The sequence below is a fragment of the Homo sapiens genome, chromosome 10, assembly GCF_000001405.40.
Source record: "Homo sapiens chromosome 10, GRCh38.p14 Primary Assembly".
Taxonomy (NCBI): Eukaryota; Metazoa; Chordata; class Mammalia; order Primates; family Hominidae; genus Homo; species Homo sapiens.
In genome coordinates this window covers 37,421,345-37,435,410 of record NC_000010.11, presented here as the reverse complement: position 1 = coordinate 37,435,410, position 14,066 = coordinate 37,421,345, and the positions used below count along the sequence as shown (strand labels likewise).

The 14,066-nt window shown below is 35.8% G+C and overlaps 1 long non-coding RNA gene across 1 annotated transcript in view; it reads right to left on the bottom strand.

The window, feature by feature from the left end:
* Positions 1 to 4,846: 4,846 nt before the first annotated feature.
* The window catches only part of LOC107984223 (uncharacterized), a 35,525-nt gene continuing 26,305 nt past the window's right edge, over positions 4,847 to 14,066 (bottom strand). The window contains exon 2 of the long non-coding RNA XR_001747426.1: positions 4,847 to 5,366. This is a non-coding gene — a long non-coding RNA (uncharacterized LOC107984223). The remainder of the gene's footprint in view (positions 5,367 to 14,066) is intronic.

Here is a 14,066-nt window from a genome sequence, read left to right as displayed (position 1 = left end):
TTTCAAATAATATAGAATTCAGAGTACCAACCAATTGAATTCCCCTTCCCACAGTTTGAAATGCATTGGTATATTCCATTTTAGACATTCTCTGTGCATTTGTATTCCATAAAGACTTTCTTACCTTAATGTAGTCATTATATTTTACTCTGTGATTTGCTTTTTCTACTGACTGTGTTTTGGAGCTCTTTCCATATTATTTCATATAACTCTGATTATTCATTTGAGCTCAGAAGTATCCCATCATATGAATGCACCATGATTTCACCAACAACATTCAGTTGGTTCCCAGTTTATCAGTCTTACAAACAGCAATGTAGCCAACAATTATAAAAGTAGTGGAAGAAAATATGAGAGAATTGTTTAAAAACCTAGGATAAGGAAAGCCCATCTTCAACAATATTTAATAATCCAGAAGATAAAATAACAGTATTAACAATATTTATAGTATTAAAATGATAATATTCTAAATTATTCAAAATAGAGGATATTACTTTAAAAAGAAGAAATCATTGCAATATAAACATCGAGGAACCATTAGTAATATCCAGAATACATAAGGAGCTTTTATAAATCAATGAGAAAGAGCTGCATTTACAAGAATACAACTAATATATTTCTATGAGTGAATGTGATTTTTTCTTTAATCTATGTTATACTGAGCTAAAGTAATATATTTCTGAATGTTGAGCCATCCTTCTATTGTTGAGTAAAACACATCACGATCAAGTAAGATTTTTCTTTTAATAAATTAGGAATAATTTTTAATATCTATTTAAAAGTACAGAATTAAGATTTGTGCATGACACTGGAGTATCATTTATTTGAGGAAAAAAACTTATTATTGTTTTTCACACCCTGTTACAGCGGTTTGTGGGTTTTGACTTGCTTGTCTATTCTCAGAGTACCCATTTTTGAAGAGCAGAATTTCACTTATTTACATTAATTGGGATTAATGTTATATTCAAACTTAATTCTGCTGTATTATTGTTTCTATTTCACATTCATTTTTGGTTCTGTTTTCTCTTTTTAATTTTTGTTTTTATTTATTTCACTTCCTTGTCTTTGGTTTCATTGTTTTTTCTTTATCCCATTTCCCCCTCTAGTGGTCTAGAAGTAATAAATCCTAATACTGCGTTTGTAATACTTGCTCTTCACATATTTGTATGCAGCCAGTCACAGTGGAATGTGACTAGAATCCTTGTTACTCAAGAGGCTGAGGTTGAAGGATCGCTTGAGCTCAAGAATTTGAGTCCAACCTGGGCAACATGGTGAAACCCCATCTCTAAAAGAAAATACACACAAAACTAAGCTTGATTACTTTTATATTTTCTCCAGAAACAAAAAGAAATCACACTATGCTGCCATACTCACCCTCCCCACACTGCTCCTCCAGCAACATATACCATTGTTTTTAGTTCCGAATGGTTACTACTTTCCTTATATCTGTCAGTAGTTACTTAACTCTTATTTTGATTACTACCTTATTTCTTTGATTTATTTTTCATTTTGATGCTATTACTGAATAACTCTTTCTGAGATGGTTGTTGTATAGTAAACCATGAGTCTGGCATGTCTAAAATTGTCTTCATTTCTTTCCATAAATTTGAATGTTTTGCTGTGTAAGTCATTCAAAGTTGAAGACAATGTCCCATCTTTTGACAGAAAGGGAAGGAAGGATATGTGCTCAGCCTGCCAGTTTGACCCACTTTTGAAAAGGGCTTTGTGGTCTCTACCAATGAGAAGTCTGGTGTCAATGTGATTTTCTTAACTTTATAGGAATTGTTTGTTTCCCTCTTTTCTGAAAACTTGTGCTTTCATCAGGCTCTACCAGCCTTGATACTCTGTCACTCACTGGGCATGGTATTTGCACCATCCTTTCATCCTTAAGGCTGCTAACTGTCTTCACATTGTGGAAATTATCTTTACTATTTCCCCAAATTTAAGAACATAGGCTTGGGAGACAAACAGCCTAAGTTCAAATCTCCACATCATTAGCTATGTGAACCAAAGGCAAATTGCTTAACCTCTTGGTTCCTCAGTTCCCTCATCTTAAGGATAGTAACAGTACCTCTCAGAGTTGTTGAGGATTGAATTAGTTAATTTAAGAAAAGGTTTTAGAAGAGTCCCTGGCAATAATTAAATGCTAAATAATTATTTTCTAAGTGATTGTTCAGTCGTTTTTCCCCCATGATCTTGGTTTTCCTTGAAGATCTAATAAGCTTCAGTTATCTCCTTCTTTTGATGACTGGAAAATGAGGTTAACTAGGTTAATGAGTGCAAATTACTGTCATGTGTTTTGTCTATAGTTATGTAGCATTGTTTACCCAAAATGTTTTCCCCTGAATGGGAGCTAGGTGTTCTCACCTTCCCCTCTCTTTTCTCTGATGTCTATCTTGGGCTTTGGCACCTCTGTCTACCTTCCAAGAATTCATCACAAGTTTTAGTTCAATGACCACTTCTTCTCTAATCATCCAGTTCTCTCTAAGACATACTCTTCTTAATGATGCACTGTAAGTCATGAAAGGAAAGTGGAACCAAGAGGGAAATAGACATGTGTGCTCAGTTAGCTCTCTGGACACAGACCCCTTTTGGGGCACCTCTGACCTCTCCTCCCCTCTCCTGCTCTCTTGGGCACCTTTAGAAACACCAATATCCTTACCATGGCTTCCGGGACCTTCCCGTAGATGGAGATTTGGTTCCTACATCTCTTCAGACTCACCTCCCACCACTCTCTTTCTCTCAAACTCCATGCTTTAAATATATTGAATTTCCACTTATATCTTAAATACAACATACCACCTTTCCCCTCTTGGTCTTCACACTTATGTCATCTTTTGACTAATAATTAATTCATTCCTTGGGCTCTGCACTTCTCTCTCAGTAAAATAAAACCTGAAAATACATTTCATTTAGAAGTGCTTCAGGATTTAAATGTTTATAATTATATTTAAATAAATAAATTCATTGATATCTGAATGGTATTCTGACTTCCTCAGTATAGTAAGAGTCACATATTCAAAAAAAAAATGTGTGGGAAGCAAATACTTAATTTTTACCCTAGCCTCTGTATACCCACTCAGACTTACAGGACTTTTAATTGCAGCCAAAGGATTTTTCAAATGCTAAGTAAAATATTAGTATATCAGCATAGCAGGAGGAGAGGGGGTTTACTAAGAATAGCAGCCCAGCTACCCAGCTAACACCTCTTTTACTTTGGAGCCCTGATAAAGAAAATGGTTTCTGACAGAGCCTCGCAAATTTTCATCAATTAATAGAAGAAATTCAAATCCTGACCCTAAATTGGAACACTTTTAATAGACATTTAAATAACCAGGGGCAATATATTTGAGCATGTGCAGTCTTGCTGATAACAGTTTGCCCTCTTATAGCTTAATACATGAGAGCAGGCAAACAGTTTGCCTTGGATTCCGGTCACACAGCCATTTCTTCCCATGCTACGGGGCTGGAATCATTTCCTATATCCTGCTATAAATATCACTTCTCCAGGACGTGTCCTGGAGTCTTCTTAGGTTCTACTCTTAACCCCCATTTCTCAGTTTGTTTCTTATGTTTCCCATCGCCCAGGAAAGCTTCACTTTCTGGAGACTTAATACCATCATAATCCCTGTGTCTTAAAAGACAAAACCTTCAATAAATGCTGCAGGTGTGGTCATGGAAAGGGAGGAAATTCACTTTAAATCACCATCTCTCTGAAAAAATAAAGTCTAGTCCAGAGGGACATTATATGCAATCTGGAAATGTCTTCAACAAAGTCACATAGGAAGTGGTGGTTTCTCATTGCTGCAAACACTGTTGTTATTGTTCACACTGATGGATAGTTTCAGTTCTCAGTAATATGAAATTCCACCAAATGGATATCCTGGAAAACAATCTCAAACTCCAAGAATAACACAAGTATAAGTTTACTGTCAGGCTATCTAAGGAGATTCAATCTATTGACTTCTTTATCCCCAGACACTACGGGCATTATATAATTAATTATCCACATGAGGCCGGGTATACTAGAACATGTTTGAGAGTGAAAGGAGCTTAAGTAAAAAAACAGGACTGCCTTAAAAACATGGAATGCCTCCTACCAGAGATAAGTACACTAACTGCAGAACTCAAGTCCCTACATAAATTGCTTGTCTTACTGCATATTGTGGTTCAAGGGATTAATCAATCCTACTTGCTCTTAGGAAGGAACAGTTATTCCTCACTCTTCATGTTTCCATGGGGAGGCACTTGAGTGTAACATGCCCTTCTGGCCCCTCTATCGTCAGGTGATGAGTGACTTTTCTAACTAAAGGAGTTAGTAGAGGAAACTGATTACAGTATATTCTGCAAACCACAATGGTTCTCTCTCTGCCTAGCAGGCCAGGCCGGCCCCATGGTGGTGCCTGGAAATGCCCAGAGCTGTCCATGGCTGGGGGTATGAATCCAACTAATCCAATCAGGGTGTCTGAGCAAGCCATTTGCACACAAATTTAAAAACACATTCTCCAGATGGTTTTATCAGTAATAAAGCTGAAATAAGATCTCTATTTGTGTGTCTCTTGGCTCTTAACTCTAAATTGGTTCTGAACTTCAAAGGGAAGTAATAGGTGTTACATGTCGACTCCTAAGACCCTCACCCTTGCTGTTTCCACTGCTGGCTGGAAACAGAGGCTAAGTAATCTAGGGACACAAAAGAAAGCAAGCAAGAAATTAAGTGGACTAACATCTCTCACTTTTTATGATAAAACACCTTGTGTTTTACTTTTAAAGTTACTTGAATAAAAGATTTTTAAAGGATTGAGCATCATATAAATTTTCACACATACACACAGAAATCCTGAATAGATTCAGCTGTAGGAATTTATTCCTGTTTAAGGATAAAAAGATTGCCAGGATGGTTGGAGAGAATAAATAAATATCTTAAAGTGGTTCTAAAAGGTGGGAGATTCTAGAAGAACCAATCCCAGAGAAGAGACACACCACCACAGGGAATGTGGTGATACCTACCCTGCACACACGCATGCACACACACACACACAATATACACAGACACACACACCACATACACAGACACACACACGACATACACATCCATGCTCACACATACAAACACTATTCTGAACATCATTGATCATCTAAATCAAAAATCAACGATCAAGCTGCTATCATTTGCCTCTACTTCTCTTGTGAATAACAGTTGAATTAGTGACAGACTTAGAAAGAAATCCTTCCTAATCGGCAGTTACTAAGAATGGAGTATAGTTGGCAAAGTTGTGTTGGTCACTTCTCCATGTCACATCACAGGGTGTAAGAATTTTCAAATGTCCAGTACTCCTATCTAAATGTTGTCTCTCTCATTGATGGGCCTGAAAAAAAACAAACATTTTTTAAAATGGTATAGCCACATTGGCAACTTTCTAAAAGTCCTAATTTTTTCTAGACAAATTGATAATTTATGCTACTTATTTTTAGTGTAACATTTCCTCAAATGATTAAAATGAAATCTAAACTATTTTCATCAGTTTTACTTCCAATTATTCTTTCTTTTGCTCTATTATTTCTTAGAGTTGTCAAGGGCAAATTAATTAGCAGCTGTTTTAATTAAGAAGAATTCTGATTTCTCCTAATAAGTGATGGCAGCTTTATAATTAATATTTTAACCTGCCTGCTGACCTACTAATTAGAATAGGAAATGGCTTTTAGACAGGATCAGTTGGCACTAGACATCACCACGCACTTACACACACATGCTCAAATCAACCTTGGGTTGAGAGAACTTTAGGTGTTAGTTTATATAAAGCTTCCAGTAAGTTCATACTTTTTAAATGTAATGATGATGGGGAAAGGAAAGAGTCCACTAAGAACTGACTCCAGATTTAGGTTCATGCAATCCTGGGGTACGTATCTTCCTGAGTCTTTACATTTTTGCTAAAACAGTCACCCCTGTTGGTCTAATTATAGTCCTCGATGAAAACAGAGCACATGCCATAAATGGGAGTGCAATGCTCAAAAAATTACCCATGTGGAAAGAAATGGGTAAATTTGACTTTTCACTGGCTTCATCGCTAACAAAATCATGTCCTTTTCACTGAGTGAAGGTTTGCAAATTTTGCCACAAGCAAAACACAGTTTATTGCATCCTGAGTAATGTCCCATGACAGAAAAATATTTCTACCTCAACTCAGTTTTTGTCTCACAAAATACTAAAACTTTATCAAGAGGTAAAATATCTAATCCCAAATTAACTTGTGTAGCAAGGAAGCTACAGGATAGAGAGCAGAGTTTCTATACTCTTCCATTAACTCCTCTGGAAATACAAAAGACAGGACACCTGGAACCTCCCAGAATGAACTAGGTACTGTCTTGGGGGAGTTTGGGGGCTTTCCATGCCCACGACAAAATGTAACATCTGGATCAGGAGACAGGAAACCAAATAACAGGTTCTCCTCTCAGCCCCAAATGAGTTATAACTGTAAGCCCGTGCATACAACTTTAGAGTTTGCTCAGCAGAACTGCCCCTAGCAGTTGGCACTCATACATAGAAATTACTTTATAGAGATTTTGGCTAAGGCCTGACGGTGTTCAGAGCTCCTGATTGAGGTTGCGTAAACCCACCGAGTGTCCAAGAAGCACAACAGAACAGGCCCTCACATATTCTACCACTATACTGCAAAGTTCATGAAGACATAGGCAGGTCTTTTTTGTTGCTGTTGTCTTGTTTTGTTTTGTTTTTGTAGAGACAGGGTCTTGCTCTGTTGCCCAGGCTGGAATGTAATAGCACAATCACAGTTCACTGCAGCCTGGATCTCCTGGGCTCAAGCAATCCTCCTGCCTCAGCTTCCCAAGTAGTGTGGACTACAGGCATGCGCCCCCACACCCTAGCTTCCTAGCTTTTCTTTCTTTCTTTCTTTCTTTTCTTTGTTTCTTCCTTTCTTTCTTTCTTTCTTTCTTTTCTTTCTTTCCTTTCTTTTTCTTTCTCTCTCTTTCTTTTCTTTCTTTCTTTCTTTCTCTTTCTTTCTTTCTTTCCTTCCTTCCTTCCTTCCTTTCTCTTTCTTCTTCTTCTTTTTCTTTTTTTTTTTTTTTTGCAGAGACCGGGTCTCACTATGTTGCCCAGGCTAGTCTCGAACTCCTGGTTTCAAGCGATCCTTGCAACTTGGCTTCCCTAAGCACTGGGATTACAGGTGTGAGCCACACACTGCCTGGCCACATAGCCTGGTTTTGTTTATACACACATGTCCCCAAATGATTAGGAAACCCTGGCACATAACCCATAGTAGGTATCCAATAAAGAGTTTCCATTTTGTTCTATTTTTCTATGCATGTGTCTTTTTTTTTTAATTAATGAATCTTAGAGAGATTACATGCTTCCTGAACCTGAGAGAACTGACCCCATGTATTCTGGAGATTTGCCCGTCAAAGACTGGTCCCACTGAACAACCCAAGATTATCTTTCCAAAGAAGTTTTCAAATAATAAGTAACATCCCTGGTTTGATGGTTTGAACTGACCTCAGGACTCTATGTTGATCCTATGGACAATAAGCCAGATAACAACAGTACCCGAGTGTAACCTGAAGAGCCTCTTCTTAGGGAAGGGGTGTACCTGGGTGATGGCCATACTGCGTGCCGCCATAGCTCAAGCCATGTGCCTGAGGCTGTGCATGAGGGAGAGAAAGAATGTCCACTCCCAAAAGAACTGATTCAGGCATGAACAGAACCATTGCACATCCTCAGGAGGTTCTAGCAAACCTGCACATCCATGTCTGCACTTAGACAACATAAACAGAGTGAGAATGCCTTCCCAGAGCACAGCAGAAGTTCAACTGGCAACGACCAGGAGAATTTTCAGCTCATCCTTTACAGAAAATGTAACTTCCATGGAGAGGACAGGAGAATCAGACAAAGACAAGCGGAGACTCTTTCTTTTCTGCACGTGCTGGTACCATTGTTAATCTAGGAAAGAAGGAAAGGAAAAGTTCCCCAAGGGCGGTTCGTCACAAACAAATGAAGCACGTACTCTAATTCAAAGTAGAAGAGAGGGCTTCCCCTCCTCCTATTTTCTAAAGAAGAAAGAGTTAATATTCTCTGTCACCAAAAATTAGCAATGAGGAGTATTTGCCGTCATCAAAAAACTATTTGCGAACTCCCAAAAGGAGAAAAAAATCATGGAAGTAAAAGATAATATATATATAATTAGTCCCGCCTTCCACTCCCTTCAATATGGAAGATATTGATGTCCTTTTCCTTAATTAAAAACAAAGGAGGCCAGGCGCGGTGGCTCACGCCTGTAATCCCAGCACTTTGGGAGGCCGAGGTGGGCGGATCACAAGGTCAGGAGATCGAGACCCTCCTGGCTAACACGGTGAAACCCCATCTCTACTAAAAATACAAAAAATTAGCCGGGCGTGGTGGCGGCACCTGTAGTCCCAGCTACCCAGGAGGCTGAAGCAGGAGAGTGGCATGAACCTGGGAGGCAGAGCTTGCAGTGAGCCGAGATCGTGCCACTGCACTCCAGCCTGGGCGACAGAGCGAGACTCCATCTAAAAAATAATAATAATAAATAAATAAAAATAAACAAAAGAAATAAGTAAATCCAGTTTCTAACTATATCCAAAGTCAAAAAGTAAGCCAGTGTTGCTTTCAGGTAATTTTGAAAAACTACCTCATTTGTCAATTTGGATAAGGTTTAGTTACAGAGATCCTTAGCTCTCTAAGCCAGTCCAATTCAAGAACACCATGGAAAGCATCCTTGGACCCCAACAAGGTTAAATCTACAATTGAACTAGATAAATATTTGCCTAGACAAAAATCACATAATGAATGGCTTTTTGCCCTACTTTAATAACAGAGAAGAAGGTATCGTGAAAGCCCAGCGATGCTCAAAACCCTCATGACTATCTGATTTGTCATCATTTCTTCCCTATATCTAAGCCCATACCCTAAACATTACTTTCTACCAGGAAGTATGACAGTTGTATTTCTAGTGATATACAAAAAGTATCTCTGCCATCATGAGAGAGAAAATGAACTTGGTGTCAAAGACATCCAAAGAAATATTTGATGCCCCAAGGACAACAAAAATATAAATTATTTCATAAATATATGATAGAGTGGTATGTAAGGAATCTGTCATCATTGGACAGCTCAGAATCACATAACTGAAGCTCAAACTGAATTTATGAGCTTAGCAGCCAAGAAGGAAACAACAAAGAATTCATCAAGGTTTTTAATGATCATAATTTAAATAGTCACATCACCTTTATGTAAAGGAAAAAGTATATATTCAAGTTAGGAGAGATGAGGTTAATTTAGACTCTGGTGTTTACTACATGCTTGCCCCTGGAAGAGTCATTTAATAACGGCAAATGTTTAGTGAGAACTTCATATGTTTTAGGCACTGCTCTAATAACTGCATATATTAATATATGAAGTTATCAACCCTCAAGATAATCCTACAAGTAAATATTTAAAGTCAACCATCCAATCATCAAATGAAAAGTGAATGATATAAATAATCCCATTTAAAGTCAGAGATTGTTAGATGGGATTTTTTTAATCCAATCTAATTGGATAAGGAAAATGTGGCACATATACACCATGGAATACTATGCAGCCATAAAAAAGAATGAGATTATGTCCTTTGCAGGGACATGGATGAAGCTGGGAGCCATCATTTTCAGCAAACTAACACAGCAACAGAAAACCAAACACCACATGTTCTCACTTACAAGTGGGAGTTGAATAATGAGAACACATGGACACAGGGAGGGGAACAACATACACCAGGGCCCATAGGGGGGTCAGGGACAAGGGGAGGGAGAACATTAGGACAAATACCTAATGCATGCAGGGCTTAAAGCCTAGATGTTGGGTTGATAGGTGCAGCAAAACACTATGGCACATGTATACCTATGTAACAAACCTGCACATTCTGCACGTGTATCCCAGAACTTAGAGTAAAATAAAATAAAAAACTTTGAAAAAGCAAAATCCAACTAAATGTTGTCTAGAAGAAACTCACTTTGAACAAACAAAAACATACAGCTTAAAAGTAAATGTATGAAAAACGATATACTGTGCTAACACTGAAAAGAAAGCTTATTTGGTTATATTAATATCAGAAAATATAACTTTTAGAGCAATAACTATTGCCAAAAATACATAATAGTAAAGAGAAAAATTCAACAAGAGACACATTATTTCCAAATAATAGGACTGAAATAATATAGAGTATGTTCTTTAACTGCAGTGGAATCAGAAACCAAAACTAGAAAATATCAAGAAAATCCTCAAATATTTGGAAATTAGGTAAAACACCAGAGGGTAGTGATGGGATCAAAGAAATCAAAATGGGAATATTTAAATACATTAAACAGAATGAACATTGGAACATGTCAAAGTTTGTGACATGAAACTAAAGCGGTGCATAGAGGAAATTTTTTAGCATTAACGCTTATATTAGAAAACAATAAATGTCTAAAATCAATAGCCTAACCTCCTACCTTAAGAAATTTGAAAAAAAATAGAAAAATTAAACACTGAATAATTAGAAGTAGAAAATAGTAAACATAAGAACAGAAACCAATAAGCTAAAACAAACAAACAGAAAAAAATAGAAAACACCAGCAAGTTAAATATCTAGTTATTTGTAAAGGACAATAAAATTAATAAAGCTCTAGTTACAGGTTTATGACTAACCTAGTTAGAGGTTAGTCATGAACCAAAAGAAAAAAGATATAAATTACCAATAGCAGAAATGAGGCATCAGTGCAGAGCCTATAGATATTAAAATAATAATAAAGAGTATTATGAACAGCTTTATGCTAATGAATTCAACACTTTTGATAAAACAGATAAATGATTTGGTATTTATAGACAAGGCACTCAAAAAATAGATAACAAGACATAACCTCTATAGTCTCAAAGGAAAACAAAAATAAAATTAATTTACTTTATAGTTAAAATTCTACTCATAAAGAAAATTCTAGGACTTACTAATTAATTCAAACAAACAATTAAGAAGAAATACTAATTCTGCACAAATTTTTCTAGAAAAGAGAAGATGCAGAACCATATCCTAATTTATATGAGGCCAGCATTGCCCTGATACCAAAACCAGACACAAACATCGCATAAAAGGCACCACAAACTAATATCTCTTGTGAATATATACACAAAATCCTTAACAAATTATTAGCAAATCAGGTCCAGCAATATATAAAAGCTAATATATATCATGACCAAAGGGGGTTTATATTAGGAATTCAAGATTGGCTTGACATTCAAAAAGCAATCAATCTAATTTGCTGTATTAACAAACTGAAAAAAAAAAACAAAACTACATGATAATGTCAATAGATACAATCAAACAAAATCTTATAAAATTTCAGCACTCATCCATGATTTAAAAACTGCTAATTGCAAATAGAAGACAATTTCCTCAACTTAATAAATGACATTACATCAAAGCTGTAGTTATTCTATTTAGTAGTCCTTACAGAATGACTGATTTTCCTTCCCCCAAAATAAAGAACAAGACAAAAATATTCTCACCACTTTTACTCAATGTTATAATGAATGGCCAGTGTAATAAGGCAAGTAAAAGAATTGAAATGCATATATGCTGGAAAGGAAGAAGTAAAACAATCTCTACTAAGAGACAACTTGACGATCTATCTGGTAAACCCAAATAATCTATCAAAAATCCACTAGAACCAATAAATGACTTTACAAAAGTCATGGGATACAAGGTCTACATCTAAAATTTATTTTATTCCTAAATACTGGCAATGAAAAATCAGAAAATAAAACTTTAAAGTAATACTGCTCATAAAATTATGAAATATCTAGTTAGAAATTAAACAAAGATATGCAAGACTGTATACTGAAAACTACAATGTATTGCTGAGATAAATTATTAAAGATCTATATAAATAGAGAGATACACTCAATTTTTTTAAGAGTGCAATTCTTTCCAAATTCATCTATATATTCAATGTAATTCCCATCAAAATTTTGGCAGATTTTTGGTAGAAATTGGCAAACTAATCCTAAAATGTACATGAAAATGCAAATGTCATCTAGAAGAGCCAAACCAATTTTGTAAAGAAAGAAGAAAGTTGGAGGACTTACACTACCTAATACTCACCAGAAAGCCATATTGTCACAAGAAAATGTGATGTTGGCATACTGATTATTATGCAAAAGAACAGAATGTAGAGTTCAGAACTAGACCTGCATAAATAAGGTTAACTGCTATTCAACAAAGGTGCCAAGACATTTCAATGGGGAAATAAACTTTTAACAAATTATACTGGAAGAGTTAGTTATCCACATGCAGAGAGAGACAGAGAGAAACATTAACTCTTACCTCACACATTATACATGAAAACTTATTTAAAATGGATCATCGACTTAAATAGAAGGGGTAAAACTATAAAATTTCTACTAAAAACATAGGAGAAAATCTTAATAATCTCAGATTAACCATGTATTTTTAAAATAGGATGCAATGCAGTCTGAAAGAAAAAGTGGTAAATTTGAATTCATCAAAATTAAAATATTTTGCTCTGCAAGAGACACTATTGGGAAAGTAATGAGATAACCTACAAAATATCTAAATATATAAGAATGTATAAACACAACTCAATACTAAGAAGACAAACAACTCAGTTTTTAATGGGCAAAAGATGTGAATACTTCACCAAAAATAATATGCAGATGCAAAATAACCATATGAAAACCATGCTCTAAATTATTATTCATTGAGAATGGAAATTAAAAAACTAAAGTAAGACACTGATATACATACAGTAGAATGGCTGAAATTTAAAAATACAGCTGACCCTTGAACAACACAGGTTTGAATTGCACAGGTCCATTTATATGTGGATTTGTTTCAACTAAACATGGCATAAAAATAGTGTTCATGGGATGCAAAACTTGTGTATATGGGAGGCTGAATGTTTGTATCTGCTGGTTGTGCAGGGCCCACTGCAAGATTTGAACAAGTATTTATTTTGGAACGCATAGGGTCTTGGAACCAATCCCTGGTGGATACCAAGGGACAACTGCAATACCAAGTGTTGGTGCTGGTGGAAATCCAAAATGGTACAGAATTTTCACAGTAGTATTTTTACTCACAATGGTCAAAAGCTGAAAGCAATCCAAATTTCTACCAAATGGGAAATGGAAAAATAATTTTTAAAATATCCATACAATGTAATACTACTCAGAATTTAAAATGAAGACAAGACTACTAAATAAATGCAACAGCATTGCCTCTCAAAAGAATTATGGTAAGTGAAGGAAGACAAACACAGAAGACTTCATACTATATGACTCTGTATTTGTAAAATTCTAGAACAGACAAAAATATATCAGTGGTGTATCAGTGGTTTTCAGGGGTCAGGAGTTGCAGGGAGAGAATTAATTGCAAACGGGCATAAAAGAACTATCTGAGGTGTCTGAAATGTTCTAGATCACGATTGTTGTGCTGATTACACTGCAGTAAATATTTGTCAAAAGTGGTCTCTTTGTACAGTTAAAAGAGGTAAATCTTATACAAGTTGAGATATACAAATTGTATCTTAACAAATCTGACCCCCCCAAATGCTATGTGATTCTAATAATTATTATGAGTAGTTTTTTCTCCTCAATACTTTGCATTGGTTTTCAAACTTTCTACCATGTATATGAATTACTTTATAATCAGTAATACAAAAGAAAGTATTGCCTTAGTAATAGTAGTTAAAATAATAGAAAGGATAAAGTAAAGGAATTAAGGTGAGTCACAGAGACACACACCATATATGTGTGAAGAATTGAGAATGCGATTTCCATTCCTGAAAAAATACCATGATAGATGTTTGGGTGGAGAAATCCTCCAAAAAAGGACACATAGATGACAGATATAATAGTCAAGGAATGATTTTTAAAACTTTTCAAATACACGGGAAGTAAGAGAATCATCAGAAGCCAGCCAGGGGAGTGGGGAGGAACAGATAAAGAAAACGCAAACAAAGCAAGCATGAATTTAGAGAAATGAATAAGGTCTGAAGACTGAAGC